The sequence below is a fragment of the Homo sapiens genome, chromosome 13 (genome assembly GCF_000001405.40).
Source record: "Homo sapiens chromosome 13, GRCh38.p14 Primary Assembly".
Classification (NCBI taxonomy): domain Eukaryota; kingdom Metazoa; phylum Chordata; class Mammalia; order Primates; family Hominidae; genus Homo; species Homo sapiens.
Genome location: NC_000013.11, coordinates 60,384,258 through 60,399,058, shown reverse-complemented (window position 1 = coordinate 60,399,058; position 14,801 = coordinate 60,384,258). Strand labels below are relative to the sequence as shown.

General features: G+C 41.6%; 1 protein-coding gene across 9 annotated transcripts in view, besides 7 other annotated features; it reads right to left on the bottom strand.

Moving 5' to 3' along the window:
- The window catches only part of TDRD3 (tudor domain containing 3), a 178,347-nt gene extending 174,821 nt beyond the window's left edge, over positions 1-3,526 (bottom strand). For 4 of the 9 annotated variants that reach the window (XM_024449417.2, XM_005266560.3, NM_001146071.1 and 1 more), the window contains exon 1: positions 2,049-2,602. Coding sequence is in view for 5 of the 9 variants with exons in the window: in XM_047430685.1 (XP_047286641.1) it covers positions 2,680-2,822 (143 nt within the window). In the remaining 4 variants the exon portion in view is untranslated. Of the gene's footprint in view, positions 1-1,653; positions 1,840-2,048; positions 2,603-2,679 lie in introns of those variants that run through there. The other 5 variants (XM_005266556.5, XM_047430682.1, NM_001146070.2 and 2 more) reach the window with 2 other exon arrangements.
- Positions 988-1,037: an enhancer, noted in NCBI's record as "active region_7803". NCBI's record gives its function as "activates an Ori minimal core promoter by ATAC-STARR-seq in GM12878 lymphoblastoid cells {active_cell/tissue: GM12878}" and the evidence as "EXISTENCE:reporter gene assay evidence [ECO:0000049][PMID:35858748]".
- Positions 1,208-1,777: a silencer, noted in NCBI's record as "silent region_5390". NCBI's record gives its function as "represses an Ori minimal core promoter by ATAC-STARR-seq in GM12878 lymphoblastoid cells {active_cell/tissue: GM12878}" and the evidence as "EXISTENCE:reporter gene assay evidence [ECO:0000049][PMID:35858748]".
- Positions 1,918-2,117: an enhancer, noted in NCBI's record as "active region_7802". NCBI's record gives its function as "activates an Ori minimal core promoter by ATAC-STARR-seq in GM12878 lymphoblastoid cells {active_cell/tissue: GM12878}" and the evidence as "EXISTENCE:reporter gene assay evidence [ECO:0000049][PMID:35858748]".
- Positions 1,918-2,517: a biological region, named in NCBI's record as "H3K27ac hESC enhancer GRCh37_chr13:60970714-60971226".
- Positions 1,967-2,479: an enhancer, noted in NCBI's record as "H3K27ac hESC enhancer chr13:60970714-60971226 (GRCh37/hg19 assembly coordinates)". NCBI's record gives its function as "activates a minimal SCP1, AML or CMV promoter by ChIP-STARR-seq in primed H9 embryonic stem cells {active_cell/tissue: H9 hESC(primed)}" and the evidence as "EXISTENCE:reporter gene assay evidence [ECO:0000049][PMID:30033119]".
- Positions 2,188-2,517: an enhancer, noted in NCBI's record as "active region_7801". NCBI's record gives its function as "activates an Ori minimal core promoter by ATAC-STARR-seq in GM12878 lymphoblastoid cells {active_cell/tissue: GM12878}" and the evidence as "EXISTENCE:reporter gene assay evidence [ECO:0000049][PMID:35858748]".
- Positions 2,848-2,917: an enhancer, noted in NCBI's record as "active region_7800". NCBI's record gives its function as "activates an Ori minimal core promoter by ATAC-STARR-seq in GM12878 lymphoblastoid cells {active_cell/tissue: GM12878}" and the evidence as "EXISTENCE:reporter gene assay evidence [ECO:0000049][PMID:35858748]".
- Positions 3,527-14,801: the final 11,275 nt, after the last annotated feature.

Genomic DNA, 14,801 nt, shown 5'->3' with positions numbered 1-14,801 from the left:
TGTTCGGGACCTAAAAAATGAGACTAATCTTTCCAAAGGAGGGGGGGTCATGTTGGAAAGCAGTAAAATACTGAGTTTGTAAATGAAAATATTACTAGTGTGAAGGATCAACGCTCAACCTAATGAGAAATGGGGAGAAAGGCAAATGAAAGAGGGATCCAAGATTATTCAGGACACCCTTGTGGGTAAAAAAACTGAAAGAAGAGATTCCTATTGAACAGAAACAAAACTGAAGACAGTGTTTTTAACTCTACAATCTTTTACGCCCATGCTGTTCTGCGAAAAAACTGTAACAACAATAACGCATAAGCGTTAAAGGAACCAGGCCCAGAGCCAGGCCCTCTGTGCTCAACATTCAACTCCACCACTTTCTAGCTATGTCATTTTGGGAAAGTTACTTAACAGCTCTTTGCCTCAGTCTCCTCACCTGTAAAATGGGGTGTATAATAACACAAGTGCCTTTAAAATCAGGAGGGGCTTCTTCAAAGCACAGTTGTGATTATATCCCTCTACTGATCAAAAACTTTATTCACAAAATCAAATCCACATCTTTCACGAACCATATAGATCTTGTGTAGGTTCTGCAAAACAATAAGCGCTTCCCTGTGTCATCTCCAGCAGCTCTGTGCTAGAAAGCCTTTTCCTTACCATCTTTCCAAGTCCACTTTAGGAAAGTAACTCTCCCTCCCATTCCACAGTGCACTCATCTGTTCCTCTGTACGTACGGTTTATCACTATTCCCCCTGGTTTTGTTTGGTCTTTTAATGCCTCACTCTTTCTCCTAAAGCAGTAATTGCAGAGAGCCGTTGCAAATCTTTTTCATCCCCGTTCCTACCCTTCATCCCAGAATGTGCCTGTGCAAGCCTGGGAAAAGCGTTACTGAATTAAACGGGATGATTACAACCGTAATGGCCGCAATTCCAGAAACTGCCTAATTTCGCATAATTTTGTATTGTTTTCAAATCCTGAAAATCTTGACACGAAAGGCCTCTTAAAATCAGAACACCATCCTTTCAAGAAAAGTTCTACCGAGCACCCCCACGAGTTGACATTGCGGTCATTCTTAGCTCCAGAAGTTGTGTGTGTGCCGCGGAAGGCAGATTCACACTGGTCCACACTGTACTTTGAAATAAGGGGTAAGAAGAGGCGGCTCCGGCCGCAGCGCGGGCTGTGCTCTGCTCTGCCCTCAACTTCCTATGGGCCCGCGGGCTCCGGCCGCGTTCGTCCCTCTCCGCCGCACTTCGTTCCCAGCCCTCGCCTCCCGATCCCGCTGCAGAAACACCCCCTCCCCGGAGAAGCCGCGCGGACGGCGCTGCAGGTCCTCCCCGGCGCTCCGGTCGGCCGGGGTCTGGGCCGCCACCCGCCCGGCTCGCGGCCCCCGGCCTCTCCCCAGGCCCGCCGCCCGCCGCCCGGGGCCCAGGCCCGCCGCCCGGGGCCCAGGCCGCCGCCGCCGCCGCCTCCAGGGGACCTAGGGGAACTCGCAGGGCTCCGCGTGGCGCCGGGGGCGGAGCCGGCCCGAAGGGCCCGGGGAGAGGCCGGGGGCGGACGACAGCCTCCGCCTACCCCGACACGCACCCCGCCGCCCCCAACCCAACCTCCCTGGGGCCCCGGCCCGCACCCGCGGCCCGGCAGCCGGCGGGACTCGCCACTTACCAACCCGCCTGGGACAACGCCGCGCCGGCCACCTGGGCCATGGTAGCTGCTTAGGCCGGGGGTGGTGGGGGGCTGGGGTGGGGGTGATGGGGAGGCCTCCTACTTGAGACCCCCCCCCTTAAAAAAAAAAAAAGAAAAGAAAAGAAAAAACTCCTCTGGTCGGCTCTGCAACTGGGCATGCTCAGTGCGGCCGGCGCTTCCGCGTGCGGGTTCCGCTCGCCGCGTTTTCTGAGCGGCCGTAGGGGCCGGCCTGGTGTGGGGCTCCCAGGCTGCGGAGCTCCGGGACCTGATCCACCAAACACCGGCTGGTGGCTGGAGTCAGGACGGTTCAGGGACTTTGCCTCTTCCCCGAAGGCTTTTACTTGTTTTGGGGGGCGCTTTTCTGAGTTGCACACCTTGGAAAGTCGCGAGGAGGTTCTTCGTAGAGCAAAAGTGTGGCGTTTGCAGCGCCCACAGGCGGCCACCTCAGAGAGGGCAGGATAAGGCCTGAGGAGACTGACGGGTTGGCTGCGAGGGAACGCGTCCAGGACCGCGCTAAAAAGGTCACGTTGCGGGCAGCAAAACTCAGAGGTGTCCCCAGCCCATTCTGCACAAAAGTTTACTTTCTTATAAACACTCGTTCCCTTCACCTCGCCTTTTGGTCCGCCCGGACGCAAAGAAAAAATGCAGCTCAAGCTTTTTTGAGTCCCCGCGGGCAGATCGAGTTGCCCCAGTCGGACACCACAGTGAAAATGCCCTGGTCAGCCCAAGAAAACCTGCTTTTAGGGGACATGGGGAAATGGGGCAGTTGTGTCAGTGCTTGTTTTTCCTGTTGCCCTCCCCCTGGGACCATCCGTGTCCTAGCGCGGCCCTGCCACCTTGGCTCTGTACTGCCAGATCTGGCAACCACAGCCGCTTCCCCGCCGATGCCCTTCGCCCGCGCTGTAGAGGGCTGGGGCGCAGGGTGGGTCCCTGAGTGGGCATGCGCGCCGCCGTCGCCCAGCGGCACGGCGGACGCTACCGCGCGATTGGGCGTCCGTGACTCACGCTGGCCAATCAGAGAGGAACAGGCGGAAGGGTACGCGGGCCCAAGAGGCGCTCCCTAAAAGTTTGCTCCACCTTCTTGGTCTTTCACCTCTGCGGCGTCCCGTATTGCGGGGAAAAAGGCTTCTAAGGGGCAGCGTCCCCATCTGCCAGGTCAGGGGAAGAAGACTGTTAGGAACTTAATCCCTATCTCCGCCGCTTGCCGCTGCCCCTGCTTCTAAGGGCATCATCAAAAACAGACTTGGAGCAGAGACTGCGGAACTGGGCAGAGGCGCTCTTGGGATTGGGGAGGAAATTGGCAGTTACGGAAGGAAGGGGATAATTGCCCTGGGTGGAGCTAAAATTCCTTAATACAGATTTTTCTCATTTCAGCTGGGGTATTCCGTTTGGTCTTCCCAAAAGTCATAGTTATAAAATCGCGATGCTTTCGTTAGATGGAATGCTATTGAGATTTGCTCCCAAGTATATTGTTTAGATAATTTTAGATCACAAGTAGCTCCATCCTGTTCGCTGCAATGTGCAGTAGTATGCAGTGTTTAAGTCATACGTATGCTACAGGTATATTTCAATTTATAGTCATCGGCCATCATATACAGGAGCCAGGAATAGATATGCCATTTTAAAGGTAAATAGATGACTCAAAAATAAATTGCCAATAATTTTTATTGGCGGTTAGAATTTTCTGTTACCAATTATTTACATTTTTCAGTTAGTGTAACCTGTTAACTATGAAAATATGTTGTACCAATCATCAGAATTTCTCACTGGTTATAAAGTCATTTGTTCTCACATGTCGTGTGATTCAGTAAGGATTTACCACTGCATGGTCCTTACAATAATAAAGTACTCCACAAAACACTAAATTCTCTTAAAGAATGGGTTTTTTACTGGAGAAATGTGGGACAACATGAGCATCCAAAAAATGGTGACAATAATTGATGAAACACATTGAATTTCTTCGGAGTGCCACCAAAAATGAAGGAGGACAAAATCTTTTCTTTCAGAGCAATACAAGATAGTAAATGTAGAACAAATGATAGAATTAGAAAAATCACAGTTTTCCAAGTCAACCACAATTGATAGAGGAAAATTTATCAGACGATACTAAAAGCCACAGGGTAAAAGACTAGGAGTACAGGATCTTCACATGGTCTCAAAGTTTCAAGCCATAACTTACTTATTACAGAAGGGAAAATGTAGCTTTACCTTTTAAAAAAAAAAATCACTGCCTTAAGAGATCAAAGCTAGAATCACTAATAATGGGACAATCTAATGTATTCTGCTTACTGATGTAATGCAACTAGACATACACATCACTTAAGAAGTATTCTTGCCAAAATGGTTTAACCTGAGTTTAACCAAGCTTGTGGACAGTGGATCCTAAACCAACCCCCACACCCCCAAATCCATTTAGCAATGTCTAGGTTGTCACAATCTGAGGAGGTAGGAGTGTTGTTATGCATCTCATGGGATGCAGCAGGAATGCTGCTAAATATCCTACAAAGCACAGGACATCGCTGAACTCCAAAGAATGATGTGGCCCAGAATGTCAGTAATGCTAAGGTCTAGATGTAAGAAGAAATGTAAAGGACGTATAGGTGATATTTGAGCAAGTTAAACATGAAGACGCAGGCACATAAATCCACAATGAGGCATATTCTCCTCTGGCCTAGACTGTTAAAATGTAATTTAAGACTTTTTTTTTTTTGAGACGGGAGTCTCGCTCTGCCGCCCAGGCTGGAGTGCAGTGGCACGATCTCGGCTCACTGCAACCTCGGCCTCCCGGTTCAAGCGATTCTCCTGCCTCAGCTTCCCGAGTAGCTGGGACTACAGGAGCCTGCTACCGCGCCTGGCTAATTTTTTGTATTTTTAGTAAAGACCGGGTTTCACCGTGTTTGCCAGGATGGTCTGGATCTTGTGACCTCGTGATCCGCACGCCTCGCCTCCCAAAGTGCTGGGATCACAGGCGTGAGCCACCTCGCCCGGCCAGAAATAATTCTTTAGAAAAAAAAAAAGAAGGCTGGGCGCAGGGGCTCACGCCTGTAATCCCAGCACTTTGGGAGGCCAAGGCGGGCGGATCACGAGATCGGGAGATCGAAACCATCCTGGCTAACACGGTGAAACCCCGACTCCACTAAAAATACCAAAAAAAAAAAAAATTAGCCGGGCGCGGTGGCAGGCTCCTGTAGTCCCAGTTACTCCGGAGGCTGAGGCAGGAGAATGGCGGGAACCCCGGAGGCCGAGCTGGCAGTGAGCCGAGATCGCGCCATTGCACTCCAGCCTAGGCGACAGAGCGAGACTCTGTCTCAAAAAAAAAAAAAATATTATTTCAGATTTAAGAGATGCAAGAGACATGAAAACAAAATTCAATCCTGGATCTAAAAAATAAATGAAAAAAATAATTACTGGTGGCCAATTGCAGAAATTTGAATCTGGACTGGATATTGGATAGTATAATGGAATATGGTTTTCTTAAATGTGATAATGTTATTGTCCTTAAATTGAGAATTTTATGTCAAAACATTTATGGATGAAGAAGAATTGGATCTACAAGTTATTTGCAAATGAGTAAGAGAAATACATTTGTAAAATATATAAAACATATAAACATTGATACATGTATATAGGTAAGAAAGAGAAAGGAGGCTGAGGCAGGAGAGTCGCTTGAACCCAGGCGGCGGAAGTTGCAGTGAGCCCAGATCGCGCCACTGCACTCCAGCCTGGCGACAGAGCGGGCCTCCGTCTCAAAAAAAAAAAGGAAAAAAGAGAAAGGAGGTAAATATGGCAAAATATTAAAAATGGGTGAATCAGTTGGAGGAGGGTCCACATGTTTATTTTTTTTCTCTAGGTTTGAAATTTTCCAAAATAAAAAGAAGCGTGGATTACACTAATTTCACATCAAAATTTTAAATTGGAATTATGTTCTGTATAGATAATTTAGTGCCATGAAAAATGGTAATAGCTAACTAGATAAAATGAATTTCCATTTTTAATTAGATAAATCATTGATTTACAGAAAATAGAAAGTCTACAATGAGCTGAAGTTGGGGGAAACCCTAAGGGTAGAAAAAAAAATTGTTAGGTCCAAGAAAACAAAAACGAGGAATGAAATCTATTTCGAGTCTGTGGTAAATTAACAGAAGAGAGAGACTGAAAATCCATTCTCCTCTGTTTCGCCTCTTATCATTTTAGTAAAGGAAAAGTTTCTCAGACTGAAAAGGGTAAAAGAATATGGGTAAGTAAGAATAGAAGCTACAATAAAAAGTGAGATGATAAGAGTGCCTGGCCCTCTGAGGCAAATTACATCTTGTGACTGTAAGCCATTTGCATCCTACGGAATACTAAAATAACCTATGAATGACAGATGAGCCAGTGCCAGAGGGCCCTATTATATTTGAAATCACCTGAAGAACCTATAATTTAAAAGAATGCTAGTTGCACTCACTTATAAAATGAAACATCACAATTTAATGTATCTTCTGGATACATTTTAGATTCCCATACTCACTTTGATTTCAGTAAAAATCAGTCACTTTCCAACAGTTTTACCATGTGACTTTTCATAAGTATATACAAGAGGAATTGGCCTCTTTTGCTTTCACATCACAAGATACAGCTGTATATATTTTAGTTAATTCATTTCAAGCACTAAACTTTGCCATATTAAAGCCATTAAACTTACCATTTTAGCTATTTAGGACAAAGAAAGACTACATCTATTTTGTGTTTACAGCATGATACAGTGTGCAGGAACGTCTGTTTTTTAAAGAGAAGTGGAAAATGACCCCCCAAAAAACTTTGTAAACTTTTGGTGTAATTTTCACAGTTAATGAAATTTGCAAGATTACGTCCCATATTTTCTCACCTTCCTCATGAGGGAAATAATATATACAGTGGTCCATTTCCAAGACAAAGTGCCTTAAGTCGGCTTAGGCCAACAAACTACAGAAGAAACAGGATGTACTAAGCTCCTGTTTGGATAGCTGATGCCTGCTTGTTGGCCTACCCTCCCCCCTTCCCCGCCCCTACTTAGTTGCCCTCACCTGAATCAAAGAAGTTTAGTCTAAGATGAAAGTTTACTAGCCTGCAAAATAGCTCGTTTTTTCTGTTCTTATCAGCCTACCCAGCTACTTAAGTCTTAAGTCAAATACTTGAAGAGCCTCTGAGCTAACTAGATTGCAATGCATTGTGGGCTGCAATAAAATGCAGCAAGACAACCCTAAAAAAAAAAAAAAAAAAAAAAACACCTAAAGCCCCTACCCAACAATCAATATGCAATGTCCAGGAAAACTGTGACCCCATAGTACTCAGCCAATGAGGAACCGGGGGAAGGACCTGTGCACTAGGGGATAAATTGCTTGTTAAAACTGTGCTGGGTGTGCCTGCTCATCAGACACTCAATCTTGCAAGACTATCATTAAAAGTCTCACTTTCACTGTTCTCCAGTTCTCTAAGTCCATTCTTTGGATTTGGACAGGTGACTTTATGTCTCACACTCAAAATTACCATAGTCTAAATATGCTACAAATCTCTCACTCTCTCTGAAGCTTACCATTAACACTTGGCCTAACATGCAGTCCCCTCTTCAGATCTCCTGAAGAGCTCAACCACTGTCACTTATCCCTGGTCTTTAGTACAAAGCCACTTTTCAGCACACTGAAAGGACTCTTATCTAACTATTTTGAATTAATTTTAGAACTAACACTTCATGAGAAACTATGTAAAAGAAAAAATATATACGCTTTATTATTCACCTTTTTTCAACTAATGTTAACACTTTCCTTTAGAGTGGTCAATAAAGTAATGAAATTCAAGGTTAAAAAATATGTTAGCTCTATTTCTTTACAGACTATTTCTGCCACTCTCCACTTCTCTTGAAGTATGAGGAAGTTTTGATCTCATATGTTTAATGGCATCTTGTTGATGCGTAATTTTCTGTTAAAATTGGTAAAATGTAGAAACAGGACTCCAGAATATTCTGACTCCAAAACGCATGCACTTAGCTCCTATATTCATAAGGAACTGGAAATATGACGGAATCATCGGCAAGGAACAGAGGATGAAATGAATGTGCTGATTTTAAATCTGAATCTAAAGTGACAAGACATGGCAATTATCAAATAGAGATGTGGGCTGGGAAGAGGTAAGGGCAGATTTGGAGATAATGATTTTAGAAGTCACTTTATAAGACATTGCTAAAGCTTTAAAAATGAATAGGCTTCTGAGGAGTTGTGTAAAAACAGAGAAGAGGCGCAAAGATGCAGCCTAAGGAACAACCGCAGTAAACAGCAGAAGAAGAAGCCACAAAAAGATAGAAAAGCCATACTCAGATTTCGAGAAGGAGGACTAGAATGCTAGAAGGACAAATAATATGACTGGGTTTTTAAAACAAATAAGCTAAATTAAGTTAAAATGTATTTGCTTGACAACCTATAGACAAAACCTTAATAAAAGGGCAATTTATGTATACAGCCAAGCCTCCTCAGCCCATCTTGCACATCAGTATTCACATTATTAACATCATGATTGCAACAAAATTTATTCAATGTGCTAAATATTTTCTAAATAAAAATGAAGAAAGGATAGCAGTAAAATGACCATCTTAAGGTAGCTTCGTCGTTAAGTGACAAAGCTGGGATTTAAATTCATGTCTGTCCAACACTCATACCACCCTCTTAACCAGTACACTATTCCCAAAATGTTGGACAAGTAGAGATAAACAGCATTTCTACGTGTTCGTAACATGACATTAAATAACATTGACTCAATAAATATTGCTGGATCAATCCCATAATGAGAAAGCTATTTCCCCTTCCATTTGTCCAACAGCCTCAAAGAGAAGGTGTCAGTTTGGAGTGAGTTAACATCCCTTTAACACTTGCCAAAATCCATTTTTAACAAAAAGATAGCAGGCCTCAAGGTCATAATCTTCTGTAGACTACAATATCTAGCTATAATTTAATAACATTATTTTATTTTTATTATATTTATGTTTTATACTTATGACACATTATTTTGACATTTCATTAACAGTAGTGAATAAAGTTTTCTGTTTAAATACACACAAGGCCAGGTGCAGCGGCTCACATCTGTAATCCTAGCATTTTGGGAGGCTGAGGTAGAAGGATCACTTGAGGCCAGAAGTTCAAGACCACCTAGGCGACATAGCGAGACTCCATCTCTTCAAAAAAATTGAAAATTAGTCAGGCATGGTGTTGTATGCCTGTAGTTCTAGCTACTCAGGGGGCTAAGGCAGGAGGCTCGCTTGAGCCCAGGAGTTCAAAGCTACAGTAAGCTATGATCATGCCATTGCACTCCAGTCTGGGTGACAGAGTGAGAACCTGTCTCTAAATTAAAATAACAACAACAATAATAAATACACATAAGATTTTTTAAAGTAACTGTTCAAAAACTCATATTAAGCAAACAATAATACAGGAAGTGTGTGGATGTGGCAAAATTGTAAGGGAGGCTTGTGGATAATTAAAATTTAGGGAAAACTGCACTGTCTTAACTATCTTCCTTCTTTCTGTGAAATCCTTAATCATAAACTTGGTGCCAAAGATCAATTATTTATTTTCCACCCTCCATTCCTATAACTCACTATAGCACTGATCCAAGTAATACCTTCCAGGTGATTATCCCTCTCACATAGTAGATTTTTTTCTCTTTCTTTTTTTAAAATCCCTATTCACCAGCTGTCAGAGCACTAGCTGTCATACTGAGTTTCGATGGGATGTTTGTAGGCCAAAAAAGTAGAGCTGAGCTTTGAAACGCTGCTCTCACAGTCCAACTCTCTTCACTGACTTTCTAGGGCTAAAAATATGAGACCTCTGCATCACCAGCAAGGAGTCACTTCTGCTCATTTTTGCTATAAAGGACTTAGGGGCAAATTTTCTAAGCGCAGAGGAAATGAAGCAGGTTTACATTCACTTTTATGCCTAAAATGTTTCAGTAATAAATAAACGCTATTTTTACTTTTCAAAGCTTTTTTTTTAAAACCTCTCTGCACATTCAAAACTGTCCAATTAACATCTATGCTCCACTTCTTGAGAATGACCTTTAGAAACAAACCAGCTCATGTAGAGGAGTATCATGTAAGCAGGGATTAAGGGAGGTGTTGGGTGGAGATCGCTTTATCCAGTTAGCACTTTTTGAAAAAACTTGGTGCATAACTCTTCCATGACCTAAATAAGGAAAGTTCCTGCAATGAGAGCCACACCTTTTTATGTATTAGATCATTTAATCCTAGCAACAAAGCTATTAGAGGTGTGTGTGTGTGTGTGTGTGTGTGTGTGTGTGTGTGTGTGTCTAAAGTCCTCATTTTGCAGATCAGGAAACTAAGGCCCAAATTTGCATGCATAGTTGGTCAGTGGCAGAGCTGGGGTTTGAGCCTAAGCTTTGGATAACACATTATCCACCCTCCAACCACCTACGCAACCCTGTCTCCACTTCCATAAACCATCCTAACATCGCTTTTGTGATTTTTGTAAATTTCCAAACCCCTCTGGATTTTAGGTGGCATGAGGAGACTTGGAACTTAGGGAAAATTAGGATTCTGGGAACAGCAAAGACTGAGACAGTAAACAAGACATCCAGATTACAGAGGCTGAGGATCTCTAAATTACAACAACAGCAACAAAAGAAATCTATAAGAATGATTTCAAATAGATTCTTCAGTAAATGTTTTTGTAAAGGGTAATAAATTGGGTAATTTTATAATGCTTCAGCTTGACTCAGAATGAAAGGAGGAAAAGGTAACAGTTTAGGTATTTTTAGACAAAACTTACCCAAATGATTCTTTCAAATACCCTTCAGAATTCTAAGTCAAATAAAATCATTGCTAATTAAATGTTAACTATAATTTATTAGCGCGATCCAAATATTCACAGGCTGTATCTGCCAGCAGGTTCAACTGAGGCTACATAAGCATTTATACTCAATTTTATTGTCACTCTTCACAACATAACTACAGGATTTAAACATCATCCCCCTAACCCCTGCTCTCTCACAATAATTCATTATAGTTTTGCAAGGATTCCTCAGGGGCTGTGTAAACATGGACAGTAACAGTCCTCCACTATCTTCTGTTCCGACCCCTTGTATCTATCCACCGTTCAAAACCCACTAGAGAAAAGTAACTGTGCCAGGCACAGTGGCTCACACCTGTAATCCCAACACTTTGGGAGGCCGCGGTGGGTGGATCACTTAAGCCCAGAAGTTCAAGATTAGCCTGGGCAATACGGCAAAACCCCATCTCTACAAAAAGTACAAAAATTACCCAGTCATGGTGGTTCATGCCTGTAGTCTCAGCTACTCTGGAGGCCGAGATGGAAGGATTGCTTAAACCCAAGAGGTCAAGTCTGCAGTAAGCTGTGATCCCACCATTGCACTCCAGCCTGGGCAACAGAGTGAGACCCTGTCTCAAAAAAATAAAAATAAGAGAGACAGAAAGAGAAGTAACTGGATATTATCACGCTGCAGTGACTTCTTTGAAAATGCTGTTTCTCTGCATAGAAGATTGTTACTGACCCCAAACCTGCACAATCTCAATATGTCAAGCAGCAATGTGTTCTCTCCTGTTTCTGTGCATGAAACGAGGACTGCCCCTCTCCAAATCCCAGTTGCATTTGAGTCACCTGGGACCCAGGGCAGCTCAGCTTACTCTGTGGTCTCACAAGTTCCTTTTGGAGCAGCTTTTGCTTCAGCCCTCTGGTTCCCTACAACCCAAACAAGAAACTGCATGGAACAGGGTTGAGGAACAGACACTATACTGTCCTCTCCACTCCTCAGTCTTGCTGAAACTGACCTATACATCCAGCTCATACAAGTAGATGTCAGGGAGATCACAAGCTAGGCTGTTTGTCAGACACACCAACTTTTTTTTTTTCAAGTTAAGTCTGGATTTTTAATTTATTTATTTTAAATTTCAACTTTTATTTTAGAAACAAGGGGTACATGTGCAAGTTTGCTACCTTTGTATATTGCACCTAGGTAGTGAGCACAGTACCGAATAGGTAGTTTTTCAACCCGCACCCACCTCCCCACCTCCCTTCTCCAGTAGTCCACAGTGTCTGTTGTTCCCATATTTATGCCTGTGTGTGCTCAATGTTTAGCTCCCACTTATAAGTAAGAACAGGTGGTATTTGGTTTTCTCTTCCTGCATTAATAATAAAGACATATTTCATTCTTGTTTATGGCTATGTAGTATATGTGGTACATATACATGGTGTATATGTACCACATTTTCTTTATCCAGTCCACCACTGATGGGCACCTAGGTTGATTCCATGTCTTTGCTATTGTGAATAGTGCCGCAATGAACATATAAGTACATGTGCCTTTTGGTATAATAATCTATTTTCCTTTGGGTACATACCCAGTAATGGAATTGCTGGGCCAAATGGTAAATATGTTTTAAGTTCTTTGAGAGATCTCCAAACTGTTTTACATTTCATTAGTAAAATGAACTAATTTACATTTCTACCAACAGTGCATAAGCATTTCCTTTTCTCTCAACCTCATCAACATCTGTTGTTTTTGACTTTTAAATAATAGCCATTCTGACTGGTGCAAGATGGTATCTTATTGTGGTTTTGATTTGCGTTTCTCTGATGATTAGTGATGTTGAGCATTTTTTGTATGTTTCTTGGCCACTTGTATGTCTTCTTTTGAGAAGAGTCTTTTCATATCCTTTGTGTATTTTTTAATAAGGTTGTTTTTAGCTTGATTTAATTCCTCTAAGTTAGACTTTTGTCAGATGCATAATTCGTGAGTATTTTCTCCCATTCTGTAGGTCATCTGTTTACTCTGTTGATAGCTTCCTTTGCTGTGCAGAAGCTTTTTAGTTCAATTAGGTTCCACTTGTCAATTTTTGTTTTTGTTGCAATTGCTTTTGGAATCTTAACCAAAAATTTATTTGCCAAGGCCAATCGTGAGAAGGTTATTTCCTAGGTTTTCTTCTAGGATTTTTATACTTTGAGGTCTTACATTTAAATATTTAAAACATCTGGAGTTAATTTTTGTATGTGGTGAGAGATAAGGGTCCAGTGTTATTCTTCTGCATATGGCTAGCTAGTTATCCCAGTACCACTTACAGAATAGGGAATCCTTTCCCCATTGTTTGCTTTTGTCGACCTTGTTGAAGATCAGATGGTTGTAGATCACACCTACATCTTTAAAACTCCCAGCTGGGGAATATCCTCCTCTAATATTAGTTTTAATAATTCAGATTTCTCATATAAGGATTGTGTTTTTTATACAAATGGATAGTTTAAAATACATTGAGCCCTTTTTAAAATCAACGAACAAACTCAGACATATTTTATAGCATATTTATAAGGTAAATCACTATAAAATTGAGATTCAGCAAACCTGGGTTTAACTCTTGACACTGGAATAACCAGGTGAATGGTTCCATTCAGATAATCTATTTCTCTTAGACTCTATTTTTCATTCAGGGGGTTAAATTGCTTGAAGAGGTGGAGAATAAAAATCCTCTAGAACCTTCTACTTTCTATGATTTTAAATAATAAAAGTATAATTTTATTATTTCATATTATTGATAGGTTAGCAAATTGCATTTTCCGAAGATGGCTGCACCAATATATAGCTCCTCCCATGCTCTTCTTACAGTGTGGCATCCACATGCCTCCAGTGAAAGATGGAGTTTCTATTTCCACCTTTTGGATCTTTGTAATTTCCTTGACCATAAGAATCTGGCAGAGGTAAGGCTGCTTGATTTCTGAGGCTAGATCATAAAAGGCAAAACAACTCCTGTGTAGTATGTCTCTCTGTCTCTCTCTCTCTATCTATCTATCATCTATTAAGCTATCTTGATGCTTGTCCTTAGACTCCAACCACTATGTTGTAAGGAATCTCAGGTGACACAGAGAGGCCACCTGTAGTTGTTTCAGTCAGCAGCCCTAGTTAGGTCCCCAATCAAAAATCACCATCACCTGCCAGACATGGGAGTGAAGAAGCCTTCACATGAAGCAGCCATTAGCCTTTGAGTATTCCAGCTGAGGCTTCAGATGTTGTGGAGCAGAGGAAAGCTGAGTCTGTGTGCCCTGTCTGATTTCCTGGCCCACAGGAACCGTGAAAGGGAATAAGTGATCATTACTATTTAAAGCCATTAAGTTTTGGGGCAATTTGTTAAGCAGCCAAAATAACCTTATTCTGGGATATGAGAAACTAACACGTTTGGTTTGGCTCCCATATGCCAGGCACTCTTGCTGGACCTTTATCTGCATCATTTCCCTTAGTCGGCACTATGCCTCAACATTTGCTTTTATGCCGTATTATTGGACATATCTTGATTTATTATATGCCAAGTTTTGGGTCAGTAATGCAACTCCCAGATATATCATTGTCCCTTGGGAAAATTTCCTAGTGCTGTTCCCAGAAATGCCTGGTACTGTCTGATTAGTACAGAGGAAAAACTACCATGAGGTAATGAAGACCCACTTCAGGGTTGATGCTTACAGATAAATGTTTTGACAATGACAATTTTAAAAAACCTGTTTTTAAAATGATTAAAATTGAACTCTAAACTGCCTTCCATCTCTAAGGTTTAATTCTATAAAATTATCAATATATTTATTTTTCAGATGCCTTTTAAAAAGAGGGAATGTTAGTCACTACTCTAAAATATTTCTTCTACCTCTTCTCTCATATTAACTAATATCTATCTTTCTTACTTTGCTGAAGGTAATAAATATAAGGAAAATGTGGTCAAATGAGATAGAGGTGTTTGCTTTTTTAATTCTTAAAAAAATAATTTTTTATGCCAGACTTTTGTTACAGAAATGTAGCTGTTTTATGCCTAGTATTTGAGTGAGATACCTATTTCCCCCAATCAGTCTCTCTTATGCAAAAGTAAAAATAGTAAATATAGTAATAAAGCAATATTATAGTGATATATATGTTTACTTTTATGCATTATGATTGGTGTCAATTAGTATCAGACATAAATATTATTACTATTAATTATAAATATTATTTGTATTAAAATGCTTGAGGTGGAAATTCTACCCATATTTAGTTCAAAGCAGAATTCAACTGCTTTGTTTTATCAGTCATCAACAAATGGAACAGATGCAGCATTTTGTTGACAGATAATATTC